This window comes from Homo sapiens, chromosome X (assembly GCF_000001405.40).
Source record: "Homo sapiens chromosome X, GRCh38.p14 Primary Assembly".
In the NCBI taxonomy this organism is placed as follows: Eukaryota; Metazoa; Chordata; class Mammalia; order Primates; family Hominidae; genus Homo; species Homo sapiens.
In genome coordinates this window covers 49,171,878-49,187,259 of record NC_000023.11, presented here as the reverse complement: position 1 = coordinate 49,187,259, position 15,382 = coordinate 49,171,878, and the positions used below count along the sequence as shown (strand labels likewise).

The following is a 15,382-nucleotide window of genomic DNA, read 5'->3' as shown; positions in this document are numbered from 1 at the left end:
GGGGCGGGGAGAGGTCCCCGGGGCCCGCGATGAAGGGCCTGGCCGCTGCAGTCTCCGTGCATAGAGACCCGGGCCGAGTTCTGACTGAGGCCATGGGACCCCCTCCCCCCAGCCCGGAGGCACAGCCAAGCCTGAGAGCGTGAAGGAGAGGCTCCCCGCCCTGGAACTGAGCTGGGGAAGGGGATAACTGGAGAGAGAAAAATGTGGGTGGGGGAGGGAAGGCTTTAAGATCTACTTCTCAAGACTTGGGGTGGGGGGACGGGGCTGGACAGCTAGGCTTATAAGGATGAGGGGAGAGAGGGGACGAGGGCTTTGGAACCTGGCCTCGCTGAGAGGGGAATGAGAAGGGAGGAGTGCGTATAAGATCTAGCTCTCTGGTGGCTAGGGCCAGGTTCCCAGGTTCCCAGCGAGCACCAGCTGGGGCTGCGGGTGAGGTTGGGGCCCATTGTTGCAGCATTCATCGGGGAGACCCTCGGAACCTCACCAGTGGGGAGGAGCCAAGAGGTGTCTTTAACCCCTCTCCCAAATAAGCATCCGAAATAAATCGACACAAAACGTCAACACAAGCACCCTAGCGCGCCACCCCTCTCAGTCCAGTTGGCCACCTCTGAGTCTCCCCATCCTCCACTACAGAACCTTCAAGCCCCAGGTCCCGTGAGAGGCCACGTGGCACGCCGGGATTCTGGGGGTCGTGCCTTGTGACGCCCCGCACCGGCCCGGAGCGGGAGGGCAGAGGCCTTTCCCGCGGGGCACTCCGGGCTACGTGCAGTTCACCTCTAGGCAGGGGGCGCCCTGGCAGCGGAGAGACCACATGCCCGGGGGCGGGCCCTGCGGGGCGCGCTCCTCCCACGAGGGTGTCAGGTTTACGGAACCGAGTTCCCAGGCCGGACGCGCGGTGGCCTGACGGTCGCAAGGATTACATTCGCCTGACCCGGCCCGGCTTGACCCTGCCCGGGCGCGCCATGTTCGCGCGTGGGTCCCGGAGGCGCCGCTCCGGGCGTGCGGTGAGCGGGAGTCAGGGCAGCGGTGGGGGTCGGGGGTAAACTGAGGCCCAGGCAAGGGGGCAATGGATAGGCATAGCGAATAGGTGCCCCACAGAGGATCTGGGAATCCCATCCCCTGCATTCCCAGACCTGGGGCTGGGGCTGCTGGAGGCGAATGGATGGAGGAAGGTGTAGATCTGGTGGCCCAAACCCCCTAATCACCTCTCCACACACTTTCATCAGCACTCCTGGGACCTGGTGGGGACCCCTCTCTTATGAATTGTGGGAGGGAATCCTGAGGGCCAGAGAACTGGGTCTTGAAGCCTTAGGTTGAGCAGGAACCTCCTGAGCTGCTGCTTTTTTTTTTTTTTTTTTTTTTTGAGACTGAATCTCTGTCACCCAGGCTGGAGTGCAGTGGCGCTATCTCCGCTCACTGCAACCTCCGCCTCCTGGGTTCAAGCGATTCTCCTGCTTCAGCCTCCCATGTACCTGGGATTACAGACGCCCGCCACCGCGCCCGCCTAATTTTTGTATTTTTAGTAGAGACAAGGTTTCACCATGTTGGCCAGGCTGGTCTCGAACTCCTGACCTCAGGTGATCCGCCCACCTCGGCCTCCCAAAGTGCTGGGATTATAGGCGTGAGCCACCGAGCCTGGCCGACCTCCTCAGCTTCTAAAGGACACAGTACCTTGGAGGAATGTGCACGGAGGGATGGAGTCCTACACTCCTGGGATGCCGAAATGCTGAGAGTCAAGAGACTGGGATTTGGGGGGACAAGGCTTCCAGGGTTCCGCCTGAGCAAGGGAGTTTTTGACTTCTTAGATAGGAGGTTCTTTCACTTCCTTTGGAGTGGGTCTCTGACCTGGGAATGTGGGGTCTGGGTTTGATGGTCCGGAGAAGGAATAAATAGCCCTAGGATGGGATGGGTAAAGGCCAAGGTTTCTTGGGATGGGGGTTTCTGAATGGAGCAGGGGCCTCCTGAGATCCTGGGGAGGGTCCCCAGTTCCTTGGGTATCAGGGCATGAGGCCAGGGTTTAGGGGAGGAGCTCCTGAGCTTCTGAAGAGAGGGGCAGGGTTCACGTGGGGATCTCAAGGAAGAATGCGGTCTCGTCTCCTACCCTGTGGAACTGGAGTGCTGCTGGCGGCGTAGATGGAGAGGGAACCGGGATGAGGCCGGGGAGAGGATGCCCAGAGTAGGGGTTCTGTGCTCTAGTGGGGAGAGTACAATGAATTATAGGGGAGGTGCTTGAGCCCTGGAAGGATCTAAGGCTGGTGGGAGGTGTCTGAGGCTAGGGGCGGACGGGGAGGGGGGTCCGAGGCCAGCCTAGGAAGGGGAATTCCCTGAAAAGGGGACATATAAGGAGGTGGCTCCAACTGCCCCGCCTCTGCCTCGGTTGTGTCCCGCTCCCCCGCACTCTGGGCGCTGTCCCAGCCTGCCCAGCGCTGCCCAGGTAAGACAGGCCCCAGCGTGCGGTCGCGGGCAATGAAGTGGAGGGGCGGGCGTTGACTTCTCCTTCCCTGCTTCCGCGCCTCACCCGGCCCTGCATCTGCCCCCGCCCACTGCAGCCTCCAGAGGCAGAGGACCCAGACCGGGGCCAGCCCTGCAACTCCTGTAGGGAGCAGTGCCCTGGCTTCCTGCTCCACGGCTGGAGGTAAGTGGCGCCCCTAAAGGGCCTCGCCTTTGTCAGAGCTCCGCCTTCGGGGGGAAATCCAGGAGCCTTACGCCACGCCCCTACGCTTGAGCTCCGCCTACAGAGGGATCTCAGTTGGGAAAAGAGCCTCAGGCTCAGATTCAGAGCCCCGCCCCCTGACTCATTCCCCAAAGTCCTTTCCCAGGAGAGCTCCACCCACTACGCAGCCCCGCCCCCAGAAGTGTTCTCCCGTAGCCGCGGAGTCGCATCCCTAGGGAGATTCTTCGTCTCTAACTCTGAGCGCCGCCCTCTGGCCTCCAGCACCCCTCTTAGACTCAGACCTACTCTCCCAGGCCCAGCGTCCTATCCTCCTGCTGGAGCCCTGCACCCAATAAACAGAGCCTACAGCCCCCAGACTCAGGCCCTACCCACAGGCTCAGAGCCCACAAGTTCAGAGCCTCACCACAGGTTAGATGCCTGTGTCTAGTGAAAGTTCCCCCACAAAGCATCCCACTCCCCACGACCTGTCCTCTGGCTCACAGCCCAGCCACACCCTGGCTCATAGGCCCACCTCCTGCAGCCCTGCCCCCAGGCCCAGATCCCTGTCCCTGCTCACAGACCTTTGGTGGTGATAATCTGTATGTCCCCGCTCCTCCATTGGACCTGGGCTGCCGAGGGGTTCGGGTGGGCAACTCCTTAGTAATTGACCCCCATCCCGGCCCCCTCAGAAAGATCTGCCAGCATTGCAAATGCCCGCGGGAGGAGCATGCAGTGCACGCGGTGCCTGTGGACCTGGAACGCATCATGTGTCGGCTAATCTCGGACTTCCAGCGCCACTCCATCTCCGACGACGACTCAGGCTGTGCATCGGAGGAGTATGCCTGGGTGCCCCCAGGCCTTAAGCCGGAGCAGGTGACCAGAGGCCAGCCCTCCACTCTTGCTGTCCAGTGGGTGCACACTAATGCTCACACACACACACACACACTCAGGTGGGAACCTATTTCTGGGGCTACGCTAGAGTGTGCAGTCAGACCGAGGGTCCTTCTGGCCCCTCTGTGATGGAAGAGTGGTCAGCCCCCCATACCTTGGGTGACTGAGGGACCAGTTCCTCAGGGCCTGTTCACCCCAATCCTATTATTTTTGATTGATTGTTTTTGAGACAGGGTCTCACTCTGTTGCCCACCACAGCCTCCCTTGTAGCTGGGACTGCAGGTGCATGCCACCCTGCCTGGCTATTTTTAAAATTTTTTTGTAGAGACAGGGTCTCCCTATGTTGCCCAGGCTGATGTTGAACTCCTGGGCTCAAGTGATCCTGCCTCGGCCTCCCAAAGTGCTGGGATTACAAGAGCAAGCCACCATGCGTGGCCCCACTCCCTATTCTACCCTCCCAGCACTTCATTCACCACATGACTTCATTGATTGACTCATTCAACACATAGTTATGGGGCACCTACTGCATGTGAGACACTGTTCTAGGCACTGAGGACACAGCAATGAGCAAAACACAAAATAACATATCTGCCCACGGGCACGGTGGCTCACGCCTGTAATCCCAGCACTTCGGGAGGCTGAGGCGGGCGGATTACTTGAGGTCAGGAGTTTGAGACCAACCTGGCCAACATGGCAAAACCCCGTCTCTACTAAAAGTACAAAAATTAGCCAGGTGTGGTGGTGCACACCTGTAATCCTAGCTACTCAGGAGGCTGAGGCAGGAGAATTGTTTGAACCCAGGAAGCGGAGGTTGCAGTGAGCTGAGATCGTGCCACTGCACTCCAGCCTGGGCAACAGAGTGATACTTCTCAAAAAAAAAAAAAAAAAAATCTGCCCAGGCAGAGGGTAGATTCTGGAAAGGAGGAACACCCAATAAGCAAACCTGTAAATATATGTCAGATGGTGTAAGGGCTATGGAATTAAAAAGCAAGGAAGGTGGGGTGAAGAAAGAGAGAGGGAAGGAGAGAGATGCTAGAATTGTAAATAGGGTGCCCAGAATAAGCCTCTGTGAGAATTTAATGGTTGAGCTGCCCGAAAGGAGGTGAGAAGTGAGCCATGCAGACATCTAAGGTTACAGCGATTCACACAGGCAAAGGGCATGGCTAATGCCAAGGCCCTGAGGCAGGCGTGTGCTTGGCATATGTAAGGGATGGCAAGGCCAGTGCTGCTGGCGCAGAGTGAGCAAGGGGGAGACCAGCTGGAGATGAGGTCAGAGATGTGGCAGGGGCTATGGAGAGGACTTTGGCTTTGCCTGTGAATGAAGGGAAGTCGCAAGAGGGTTGTCAGCAGAAGACAGCCTGGAGGAATAAGGGTGGAATCAGGAGACCAGTGAGGAACCTGATGATGATGGCACTGGCAGTGCAAGGAGTTATATATATATGGAGAGAGAGACAGACAGACAGACAGAAAGGCCGGCATGGTGGCTCACACCTGTAATCCCAGCACTTTGGGAGGCCGAGGCGAGTGGATCACTTGAGGTCAGGAGTTTGAGACCAGCCTGGCCAACATAGTGAAACCCCATCTCTACTAAAAATACAAAAATTAGTCTGGCATGGTGGCAAATGTCTGTAATCCCAGCTACTCGGGAGGCTGAGCCACAAGAATTCCTTGAACCCAGGAGGCAGAGGTTGCAGTGAGCTGAGATTGCACCACTGCACTCCAGCCTGGGCGACAGAGCAAGACCCTGTCTCAAAAAAAAAAAAAATAGGCTGGGTGCAGTGGTTCACGCCTGTAATCCCACCACTTTGGGAAGCCTAGGCAGGCAGATCGCCTGAGGTCGGGAGTTTGAGACCAGCCTGACCAACATGGAGAAACCCCGTCTCTACTAAAAATACAAAAAAATTAGCCAGGCGTGGTGGCACATGCCTGTAATCCCAGCTACTTGGAAGGCTGAAGCAGGAGAAGCGCTTGAACCCGGGAGGCGGAGGTTTCGGTGAGCCCAGATCATGCCATTGCACTGCAGCCTGGGCAACAAGAGCAAAATTCCGTTTAATAAATAATTATTTAATATATATATATGTGTGTGTATATATATATACACATATATATATACGTATATAGATACACGCGTATATATATACGTATATATACGTGTATATATATACACATATACGTATATATATACACATATATACGTATATATACACATATATATACACATATGTATACATCTATATACATATATATAAAATAATTATTTTACGTATATAATTTACGTAAATAATATACGTATAATAATTATACGTGTATATATATATATATATATACACACACACATATATATATATGGGGGGGGGTCTCACTCTGTCTCCCAGGTTTGAGTGCAGTGGCTCAATCACAGCTCACTGCAGCCTCAACTTCCTGAGCTCAAGTGATCCTCCCACCTCAGCCTCCCAAGTAGCTGGGACTACAGGCACGCATCATCACGCCTGGATGATTTTTGTATTTTTTGTAGAGATGGGGTTTTGCCATGTTGCCCAGGGTGGTCTTGGACTCCTGGGCTCAAGCTATCTTCCCCTCTGGGCCTCCTAAAGTGCTGGGATTACAGGTGTGATCCACAGCACCCAGCCTATATTTTGGAAGTAGCACTCAGAGGATTTGCTTGTGGGGGTGGGAGAAAGAGGAGTGAAAGATGACCCTGAGGATAGGTAGATTAACTGATGTGGGAGAGGCCAAGACAGGAGCAGTTTGAGGGGTAAGAGCATAAGTTTGGTTGTGGCCATCTGGAGTTTGAGATGCCTGTTAGACATCTAAATAGCCACATTGCCTGGAACTCAAGGGATAAGTTACAGAGCTGGACGTATGTGTTTGTCATTATGTGTCACAGGCTGGAGGTGACACATTAGCCAGCCAAGTAGATGATATTTACAGCCATAAGGTTGAATGTAATTCCCAAGAAATTGAATGTAGACAGAGGCAAGAGGACCAAGAGCTGAGTCCTAGGATCCTCCTGCATTTAGGGGTCAGCTAGTTGAGGAGGAGCCAAAACAGGGACAAAGAAGGAGCAGCCAATAAGGTGGAAGGAAAACCTGGACTGTGTGGTGTCCTGGAAGCCAAGGGAAGAAAGTGTTTCCAGGAAGAGAGAGTGGTCAGCTCGGTGCAGTGCTACCATCATCAAGTCTGATGACGACTGAGACCTGAACAATGATTTTAACAATGGGGAAGTCATGGATGACCTTGACAGCTTTGGAAGAGGGATGGGAGCGGAAGCCTGCCTCAAGTAGGCTCAAGAGAGATTGGAAGGACAGGAAGTGGAGTGAACACAAGTGCTCATAACTTTTTGAGGAATTTTCCTGTAAAGGGAAAAAGAAAAGTGGATCAGTAGACTGGGCGCGGTGGCTCACACCTGTAATCCCAGCACTTTGGGAGGCCAAGGCAGGCGGATCACTTGAGGTCAGGAGTTCGAGACCAGCCTGGCCAACATGGTGAAACCCTGTCTCTACTAAAAATAAAAAATTAGCTGGGCATAGTGGTATGCCTGTAATCCCAGCTACTCAGGAGGCTGAGGCAGGAGAATCGCTTGAACCCAGGAGGCGGAGGTTGCAGTGAGCCTAGATCGCGCCACTCCAGCTTGGGCAACAGAGAAAGATTCCGTCTCAAAAAAAAAAAAAAAAAAAAAAGGTGATCAGCAGCTGGAGGAGGAAGTGAGGTCAATACATGCAGGAACCCTCAGCGTGTTTGGGAGCTGGGAGCTGAGGGAAATGATCCGCCTTTAGGAAGGAGAGATGAGGGAGTCAGAAGGTCCCTCCTAATGCCTTTCATTTTCTGAGAAATGGGGACCCGCCATCTCACTGCATCCCAACTCACCTCTCATTTCAGTTGTTTTCTCCCACTCCTATGTCCTCCCAGGTATATCAATTTTTCAGCTGCCTCCCAGAGGACAAGGTCCCCTACGTCAACAGTCCTGGGGAGAAATACAGGATCAAGCAGCTGCTGCACCAGCTGCCCCCACACGACAGTGAGGTGAGGAGAGAGAAGACAGGAAGGGCATGCCAGGCACAGCACACAGCCTGGGCCAATGCAGGGCAGGGTCAGAGGAGGAAAGGTGAGCTGATCTGAGGTGAGTGGTCCAGACAGGCAGGGGTCATCAGGGGACATTCCTTGGCAAAACCACAGCTGGGCCTTGGAAGAAGAGGTGGTTACTTCAGGCAGGAGGCACCATCTATAGAAAGACCTAGAAGTAAACTTTCGGGGCATGGATGAAGTCTGGAAGAGGGGCAGGGACAGGCATCAAGGGAGGAGCCTGGGAGATGCCTTCTCCTCCCAGGCACAGTACTGCACAGCACTGGAAGAGGAGGAAAAGAAAGAGCTCCGAGCCTTTAGCCAGCAGCGGAAGCGGGAGAATCTGGGGCGTGGCATCGTGCGCATCTTCCCGGTGACCATCACTGGGGCCATCTGTGAGGAGGTGAGCCGTGGAGGGCCTCAGCGAGTGAGCAGTGCCTCTGCTCCAAGCCCTGGGGAGCAGGACACATCTTCCAAGCACTGGGAAGATGAGGCCTGCCACTTAAGCCCCAGTGAGGTGTCTCTAGGGTCCCCTCTTGTGGGCGGGGTCTGTTCCTCACATCTCACTGTTGGGCAGGGACTGTCTCTAAGGCAACCCCTGGTGGACAGGGACCTGTCCCATCAATCCCACTGTCGTGTGGGGTTTGTCTGTAAGGAGGCCTTAGTGTGTTTTTCTCCCCGTCTGTGCAGTGGACATGGGGCATGGGCTATCTCTTTGGTCCTCCTGTGGTCAGAACTTGTCCTCAAGAGCTGACCCACAGTGGCAGGGCCTGTCTGCAGGGCCCAGTGGTAAGCAGGGCCTGTCCTTAGATCCTACTGTTAGGTGAGATCTATTGCTAAGGTCCCGGTGGGTGGAGACTATCTCTGTGGTTTCCCCCACTAGGCCTGGCCTGTCTGTCTTCCCCACCCCTGATGAGGGAGGCTTGCCTATAAGGCCACCCACCATGGGTAGGGCCTGTCTCTACGGCTTCCCTCATGAGCAGGGTCAGTCTCTAAGGTACCGCCCAACCCCATCCCTGGTATAGGCAGGGCCTGTGTCAAAGTTACCCCATGGGTGGGGCTGATCACAAAGTTTCACTGTGGGAAAGGCCCAAGTGTAACATACTTTGGCTGACCCCATCCATCTGACCATCTTGGTGACAGTGATGGTAACCATCTTGGTGCTTGTCTCATGGCAGTGCGGAAAGCAGATTGGAGGTGGGGACATCGCAGTGTTTGCCAGCCGTGCAGGCCTGGGTGCCTGCTGGCACCCACAGTGCTTCGTGTGTACCACGTGCCAGGAACTGCTGGTTGACCTCATCTACTTCTACCATGTTGGCAAGGTCTACTGCGGGCGTCACCATGCCGAATGCCTGCGTCCACGCTGCCAAGCCTGTGACGAGGTTTGGGCCTCCCTGCCCAGGGGTGGGAGTTGAGGGTGGGCAGGGCCAGGAGCAGGCTCATCTGACAGCCACAGATGGCCTGCGCCCTCCAGATCATCTTCTCCCCTGAGTGCACGGAGGCTGAGGGCCGCCACTGGCACATGGATCACTTCTGCTGCTTTGAGTGTGAAGCTTCACTAGGAGGGCAGCGCTATGTCATGCGTCAGAGCCGCCCCCACTGCTGCGCCTGCTACGAGGCCCGCCACGCGGAGTACTGTGATGGCTGTGGGGAGCACATCGGTGGGTGAATGCTGTGGGACTGGACAGAGGGATGGATGGACAGCTGGGCCACAGTCCTACCCCACCAGGACTCCTCCTGTCCTCCAGGCCCCATCCTCCATTGTGCCCTGTACTTTGTCCAGCCCCAACACTATAGACCTGTACGCTTGGTTGCAAGTCCCACTCCCAATGTCCCCACTATGCCATGCTTTCTAAACCCCACCTAACACAATGCTAGGCCACCACCACATGTCTACACCCACCTCCAGAGGGTGCTCTAATTCCAGCCCCAGGGCTCGCCCTACTCCTAGCCTCTACCACCCCAAGCTGTGCCCCGTTCTCCTCCACTCTCCTGTATCAGCCTAAGTCAGGCCTAGCTTCTAGCTACACCCTATCCTCTGAGAACCACTCCTTTCTCAACAGGGCCACTCCCCACCTGCTAAGCCCTGCCCCCACCAGCCAGGCCTCCTCTTCAGGCCCAGCTTTCCATTCTCCTTCCACTTGGAGCCACCCCCTAATGTCTAAGCCTGGCCCGAATCTTAGAGTCCAATGCCCACCCCGCTCTGGGAGAGAGCACCCTGGGAAAGAAAGGGAGGAGTGAGAGAGAGGTTCACCAGCCAGTCTCCAGGAGAGAACCAAAACCTGTTTCCTGCTTTCTCCAAAAGGGCCCCATTCTGGAGGAGGGAGGAAGGCACCCAGGGGTGCCCTGCCTCGGATTCCCCACCTCTTCTTGAGAAGGGACTCGTTCACGAGGGGTGGGGTTACGCCTGGGGGTTCTGCCTCAGTTTTTCCCCCTCGTCGTTCCCCACAGGCCTGGACCAAGGCCAGATGGCTTACGAGGGCCAGCACTGGCATGCCTCAGACCGCTGCTTCTGCTGTAGTCGCTGTGGGCGGGCCCTGCTGGGCCGCCCATTCCTGCCACGCCGAGGCCTAATCTTCTGCTCTCGAGCCTGCAGCCTTGGGTCCGAGCCCACAGCTCCAGGGCCGAGCCGCCGCAGCTGGAGTGCCGGCCCTGTCACAGCCCCACTTGCAGCCTCCACAGCCTCTTTCTCTGCTGTGAAGGGGGCATCAGAGACCACCACCAAAGGCACCAGCACAGAGTTAGCGCCAGGTGAGCTAACCCTCTAGCCACACCCAGCCACAGCCCAGTCACCCCTATGTCCTTGCCCCTGCCTCAGCCCTGGCCCTTCCTTCTTGACTAGCCCAGGCCCTTCACCTGCTGTATCCCTGGGCCCCGCCCATTTCTCAGCTCATCCTCCTTCCCCACACCAGTCCAGGCCTGGTTTCCATCCCAAACTACACCCGCCTCATGAACCCTGGTTCCACCCTGTCAATACAGGGCTGGTCCCCTACCTCAACTTGTCTCTGCTTGACCCCAAGTTCCTCTTCCTCTTCTCCAGCCGGTCACCCTTCATCCTCTGCAGTCAGGCCCCACCCCTTTTATTGCAAACCAAATCTACTCCAGCCTATGCCACACCTCTTCCATCCGAAGCCACCCCGGGTGCCCTGGCCACGCCCCCCACACCAGTCCCATCTTGCTCCGTGTTCTTCCTTCCAACCCTCTCAACACCCAGAGCCTGCTCCAGGCCTCACACTTCCCAGACTTCCCACCTCCCTGCCATTCTCCGACCCCTGCCCCCACTTTCCCAGTCTTAGTGGAGGAAAGAAGGCCCTTCCGCAGGCCTCCTCTTAGGAGGGGGCCAGTGGGAGGGCAGATACAAGGAGTCACTCTGTCTCCCCCTTAACAGCTACAGGCCCTGAGGAGCCCTCCCGCTTTCTGAGAGGGGCTCCCCACCGCCACTCCATGCCGGAACTGGGGCTCCGCAGTGTCCCCGAGCCGCCCCCAGAGTCCCCCGGCCAGCCTAACCTGCGCCCAGATGATAGTGCCTTCGGTCGTCAGAGCACCCCACGCGTCAGCTTCCGCGACCCTCTGGTGTCTGAAGGAGGCCCGCGCCGGACCCTGAGTGCACCCCCGGCCCAGCGCCGCAGGCCACGCAGTCCCCCACCCAGGGCCCCCAGCCGTCGCCGCCACCATCATCATAATCACCATCACCATCACAACCGCCACCCAAGCAGACGTCGCCACTATCAATGTGACGCGGGATCAGGGTCAGACTCGGAATCTTGCTCCAGCTCGCCCTCCAGTTCCAGTTCCGAATCATCAGAGGATGATGGCTTCTTCCTAGGAGAGCGCATCCCTCTGCCCCCGCATTTGTGCAGGCCCATGCCTGCTCAGGACACTGCAATGGAGACCTTCAACTCCCCATCTTTATCGCTCCCCAGGGACTCTCGCGCAGGGATGCCTCGTCAGGCCCGAGACAAGAACTGCATCGTGGCTTGAAGGCAGGCCGTCCTGGAGGGGGCTCCATTCTCCAGTCAGAGTAGATGATGAGGCCCATGCCCCTCACCCCCACGCCCCGCCCCTACAACCTAAGTCATAAATCCTCTTCCTCCCTCCTTTATCAGTTTGTTTCTATTTTTGTTTCTGTTTTAGAGACTTGGTCTACCCTATTGCCCAGGCTGGAGTGCAGTGGTGTGATCAGGGCTCACTGCAGCCTCAAAAGTTTTGGGCTCAAGCTATCCTCCCACCTCAGCCTCCCAAGTAGCTGGGACTCCAGGCTCGTGTCAGCGTTCCCAGCTAATTTTTTAATTTTTTGGTAGAGATGGGGTTTTGCCATGTTGCCCAGGCTGGTCTAGAACTCCTGGGCTCAAGCAATCCTCCCGCAGCCTCCCAAAGGACTGGGATTACAGGCATGAGCCACCGCACCGGGCCTCTCGTTTGTATTATTGAAGTAATTTAATATTTGTTGTAAAACAGGCCTGGCTTCTTTGCCTCCTTGCCCCAGCTGTTTCCACTCCATTTCCCCCTCCTGATGCTTGAAATTTACCCACATTTGATGAAAGGATTACTTTATTCATTATCGTATATTTTAACAATGTTTATTATTCATTTATCCCTCTATAGAACCACCACCCACACCGAGGAGATTATTTGGAGTGGGTCCCAACCTAGGGCCTGGACTCTGAAATCTAACTCCCCACTTCCCTCATTTTGTGACTTAGGTGGGGGCATGGTTCAGTCAGAACTGGTGTCTCCTATTGGATCGTGCAGAAGGAGGACCTAGGCACACACATATGGTGGCCACACCCAGGAGGGTTGATTGGCAGGCTGGAAGACAAAAGTCTCCCAATAAAGGCACTTTTACCTCAAAGAGGGGGTGGGAGTTGGTCTGCTGGGAATGTTGTTGTTGGGGTGGGGAGGAGTTATTTCAATGGAGGAGTTATTTGCAGATTGCAGAGAGAAATGAGGGAAGTTCGCCTACACCGGGCCATCTGCGGGGTCTGCAGGTGAGGAAAAGAGAGAAAGCATTGGCTGAATCTATATGCCCATTTTTTAAAACAAGATCCAAAGTCCATGAACATTTTACACACAAGAATACCGAAGCTTATGGTACCTATTGGTACAAAAGCCCTAAGTACCAATACGAGACCAGAGTTGGCATTCGTGCCTTTAAGAGATCCCTTTCCTTTTTCCCTCTGCCCTCTCAGCAACCCCCTTACCCCCAACCAACACACACACACACTTACCAGTGGGGGCTGCTGTATGTCTTGGCTGCCGAACGGGGAAGGTGACATAGGCATCATAGCCAAAGAGGCACGTAGCGATTAGGCCCAGTACCTGGGGGACAGGATAGGAGTGAGGGGGTTTAGATTAGCTGGTCAGGTTACTCAGTCTCTTATCTTCTTGTATCCACCACCTCCAGCACCTGCCCCACGCAGGATGGGACTCAAGCACCGGGTTGGTAAGCCAGGGAAAGGCCAAGAGAGTGCATCCTACCCCACTCTCCCTCCTCCTATACCTCTCAACACAGGGAGGCCACACTGTGGCCCTACCCGTAGGGGGCACAATTCAAGTCATACTTTTTTTTTTTTTGAGACACAGTATCACTCTGTCACCCATCTGTCACTGGGGCTGGAGTGAGTGGCATGATCTTGGCTCACTGCAACCTTTGTCTTCTGGGTTCAAGTGATTCTCCTGCCTCAGCCTCCTGAGTAGCTGGGACTATAGGCGCCCACCACCATGCCCGGCTGATTTTTGTATTTTTAGTGGAGATGGGGTTTCGCCATGTTGGCCAGGCTGGTCTTGAACTCCTGACCTCAAGTGATCTGCCTGCCTCGGCCTCAGCCTCCCAAAGTGCTGGGAATACAGGCATGAGCCACTGCGCCCGGCCCCAATTTCTACTACATTTGGGACAAAGTTCTTGCAGATGGTAGTCTAGTGCATTGACAAAGGGGCCGCCTGTTTGTACCTCTCACCAAGGTCCTTGTGTCTGACAAGGGACTTCCCTTCACAGCAAATGAAGACCTTGGGAGGCAAAACCAAGTCCTGGGCCAGACTTTCCTCCATGTCTGAGGACAAGTGTGACTTGCTGTGGGTCACACGATTTCTGCCAGAAGCAAAGGCAGAAATGGTCCCTGGCTCCTCAAACCCTTCGCTCTGTGCTTCAGAGCTGCTCCCATGGCCTTTACCCCTGCGACGATTTTGGAGTGGTTTCCTCTCTCAACAAGGACAACAATGGAGGTGATCAGGTAGAGGATTGCCGCTATGAGGGTTCGGAAGAAATCCTGTGAGGTGTAGGGAGGAGAAGAGGGAAGTCAGCAACCACAGTTCCCCGACAATCCTAACTGCCCAGACCCCTCCCTGGTCTTGCCATTGTGGACCCCTTCTCACACTCCAGGGCCAGTTGATGAATGGTATCTTGGTGTGCAGGTCACACATGTAGACAACAAAGAAAATAGCAGCAAGGATCATCTCAATCACCGACAGGGAGGAGTAGCCTGGTGTGGAGGCACTGAAGCAGATCAGGATCACCAGGCATAATATCTGGAAGGGTGACATGGGAAAGGGGACCTCAATCAGCAACCAGGGCTGAGAAGATTGGTTTAAATTGGGGGTCCCATACTAAGATGCCTACGAGGGCTGGGGAAATGACATACAATAATAGCTAAACACTTTTTATGTGCTCACTGTGTTCCAAATTCAATCATCACGACAATCTAATGCTCTGGGTACTATTATTACTCTTTCTAATTTATAGACGAGAAAACTGAGGCACAGAGAGGTTTAATGGCTTGGCCAGGGTCACCCAACAAGTAAGGAGTAGAGTTGGGTGCCTCAGTTTCCTCTTTTCCCTTCTAGGTTACGGGCAGCCTGAGGGGAGTGGCGCTGCCAGGTGTTTTGTGAGCCCCGCTGACGCCAGCTTTGTGGCCTTGACCGGGGCGGAACACGCGGTTCCCCCAGCAACCCCTTTGGGAAGCGGTGAGAGTGACACCAGAGAGGCAGGACTCCGTTAAAGGCGCCGCACCCCTTTTACAAGTGACTCAAAGGCGGCGCCCACTTTGAGAAGGGTGGAAACCCCGAAAAGCTAAGGACATCCCGCCCGGCCTCTGAAGGGCGAGGAAGAACTGGCGAAGGGCGGGGCGCTCTACACCGCGGGACTAGCGCGGGGCGGGGGGGCCCCACCCCAACAGGCCCTGCCCCTGGGCGCGCTGCCAGCCCGCCCTCCTGTGCCCAGGCCGCGCCACGCCCTGCCACAGGAGGCCCCCACTTCCCAGCACCCTGGGACCCCTTCGATGCGTCCACTGATGAGTTCACGCAGGCTGTCCCCACGTAGCCCTCCGTATGCGTTATAGGCTCCTTGCTTCACCCCGGGGACCACCAGATCTCAACAACCTTCGTCAAACCCCACCGACTCGCCCTGCGCCCCGGGTTTCGGGCCTCCACCGTGAACCCACCCACCTGCACCCCACTGCCGAGCGCCCCGGCCAAGTGCCTGCCTCACCCGGACCATCCAGTTCCGCATGGTCCAGCCACCCCATCCCGCTTTTGCCCACGCGCCTGCCCCAGAACGCTCACAATCTCAGCAAACAGGAGGATTCCCTTTCGAGTGCGCGAGAAGTTGGTGCAGGCGGCCCAGCAGCCAGGAGCCGAGAGGCGCTCAGAATCCGCCATGGCATGGGCTGGAGTCCCTGGTGCCTCGGAGGATCTGCTCACTTGCTCGTGGTTTCGAGGACGCTGTACACCCAGCTGTCTTGCCCGCCGTCTGGCCGGGAAGGGGGCCCCGGGGCGAAGGAG

General features: G+C 56.0%; 2 protein-coding genes across 3 annotated transcripts, besides 8 other annotated features; one reads left to right on the top strand and one right to left on the bottom strand.

Annotated features, from left to right (window-relative positions):
* Positions 588 to 1,128: a transcriptional cis regulatory region, noted in NCBI's record as "promoter|chrX:49042585-49043125 region (GRCh37/hg19 assembly coordinates) targeted for CRISPR interference". NCBI's record gives its function as "negatively regulates PLP2 gene expression in K562 cells {active_cell/tissue: K562}" and the evidence as "EXISTENCE:mutant phenotype evidence [ECO:0000015][PMID:31784727]".
* Positions 765 to 894: a silencer, noted in NCBI's record as "silent region_20840". NCBI's record gives its function as "represses an Ori minimal core promoter by ATAC-STARR-seq in GM12878 lymphoblastoid cells {active_cell/tissue: GM12878}" and the evidence as "EXISTENCE:reporter gene assay evidence [ECO:0000049][PMID:35858748]".
* On the top strand, positions 887 to 12,458 carry PRICKLE3 (prickle planar cell polarity protein 3). 2 transcript variants are annotated; one of them, NM_006150.5, is made up of 9 exons: positions 887 to 1,004; positions 2,550 to 2,635; positions 3,343 to 3,526; positions 7,454 to 7,567; positions 7,872 to 8,009; positions 8,785 to 8,988; positions 9,081 to 9,267; positions 10,058 to 10,357; positions 10,995 to 12,458. In NM_006150.5, exons 1-9 carry the CDS (start codon positions 963 to 965, stop codon positions 11,585 to 11,587), a joined length of 1,848 nt encoding a protein of 615 aa, NP_006141.2. In that variant the 5' UTR covers positions 887 to 962; the 3' UTR covers positions 11,588 to 12,458. The 2 variants fall into 2 exon arrangements, with proteins under 2 accessions (NP_006141.2, NP_001294908.1); NM_001307979.2 differs by lacking the exon at positions 887 to 1,004 and adding an exon at positions 2,367 to 2,434.
* Positions 2,488 to 2,988: a transcriptional cis regulatory region, noted in NCBI's record as "promoter|chrX:49040725-49041225 region (GRCh37/hg19 assembly coordinates) targeted for CRISPR interference". NCBI's record gives its function as "negatively regulates GATA1 and PLP2 gene expression in K562 cells {active_cell/tissue: K562}" and the evidence as "EXISTENCE:mutant phenotype evidence [ECO:0000015][PMID:31784727]".
* Positions 2,666 to 2,879: a silencer, noted in NCBI's record as "fragment chrX:49040834-49041047 (GRCh37/hg19 assembly coordinates)". NCBI's record gives its function as "represses an EF-1alpha promoter that drives an FKBP-Casp9 reporter gene in an ReSE screen in K562 erythroleukemia cells {active_cell/tissue: K562}" and the evidence as "EXISTENCE:reporter gene assay evidence [ECO:0000049][PMID:32094911]".
* Positions 9,344 to 9,844: a transcriptional cis regulatory region, noted in NCBI's record as "genic|chrX:49033765-49034265 region (GRCh37/hg19 assembly coordinates) targeted for CRISPR interference". NCBI's record gives its function as "positively regulates PLP2 gene expression in K562 cells {active_cell/tissue: K562}" and the evidence as "EXISTENCE:mutant phenotype evidence [ECO:0000015][PMID:31784727]".
* Positions 9,446 to 9,740: an enhancer, noted in NCBI's record as "tiled region #5879; K562 Activating DNase matched - State 25:Art". NCBI's record gives its function as "activates a minimal TATA promoter and a strong SV40 promoter by Sharpr-MPRA in K562 cells {active_cell/tissue: K562}" and the evidence as "EXISTENCE:reporter gene assay evidence [ECO:0000049][PMID:27701403]".
* Positions 10,259 to 10,760: an enhancer, noted in NCBI's record as "H3K4me1 hESC enhancer chrX:49032849-49033350 (GRCh37/hg19 assembly coordinates)". NCBI's record gives its function as "activates a minimal SCP1, AML or CMV promoter by ChIP-STARR-seq in naive H9 embryonic stem cells {active_cell/tissue: H9 hESC(naive)}" and the evidence as "EXISTENCE:reporter gene assay evidence [ECO:0000049][PMID:30033119]".
* PLP2 (proteolipid protein 2) lies at positions 12,025 to 15,362 on the bottom strand. Its single transcript, NM_002668.3, has 5 exons — positions 15,164 to 15,362; positions 13,979 to 14,131; positions 13,777 to 13,872; positions 12,835 to 12,925; positions 12,025 to 12,588 (listed from the first exon to the last, which is right to left on the bottom strand). Exons 1-5 carry the CDS (start codon positions 15,257 to 15,259, stop codon positions 12,566 to 12,568), a joined length of 459 nt encoding a protein of 152 aa, NP_002659.1. The 5' UTR covers positions 15,260 to 15,362; the 3' UTR covers positions 12,025 to 12,565.
* Positions 14,666 to 14,865: a silencer, noted in NCBI's record as "silent region_20839". NCBI's record gives its function as "represses an Ori minimal core promoter by ATAC-STARR-seq in GM12878 lymphoblastoid cells {active_cell/tissue: GM12878}" and the evidence as "EXISTENCE:reporter gene assay evidence [ECO:0000049][PMID:35858748]".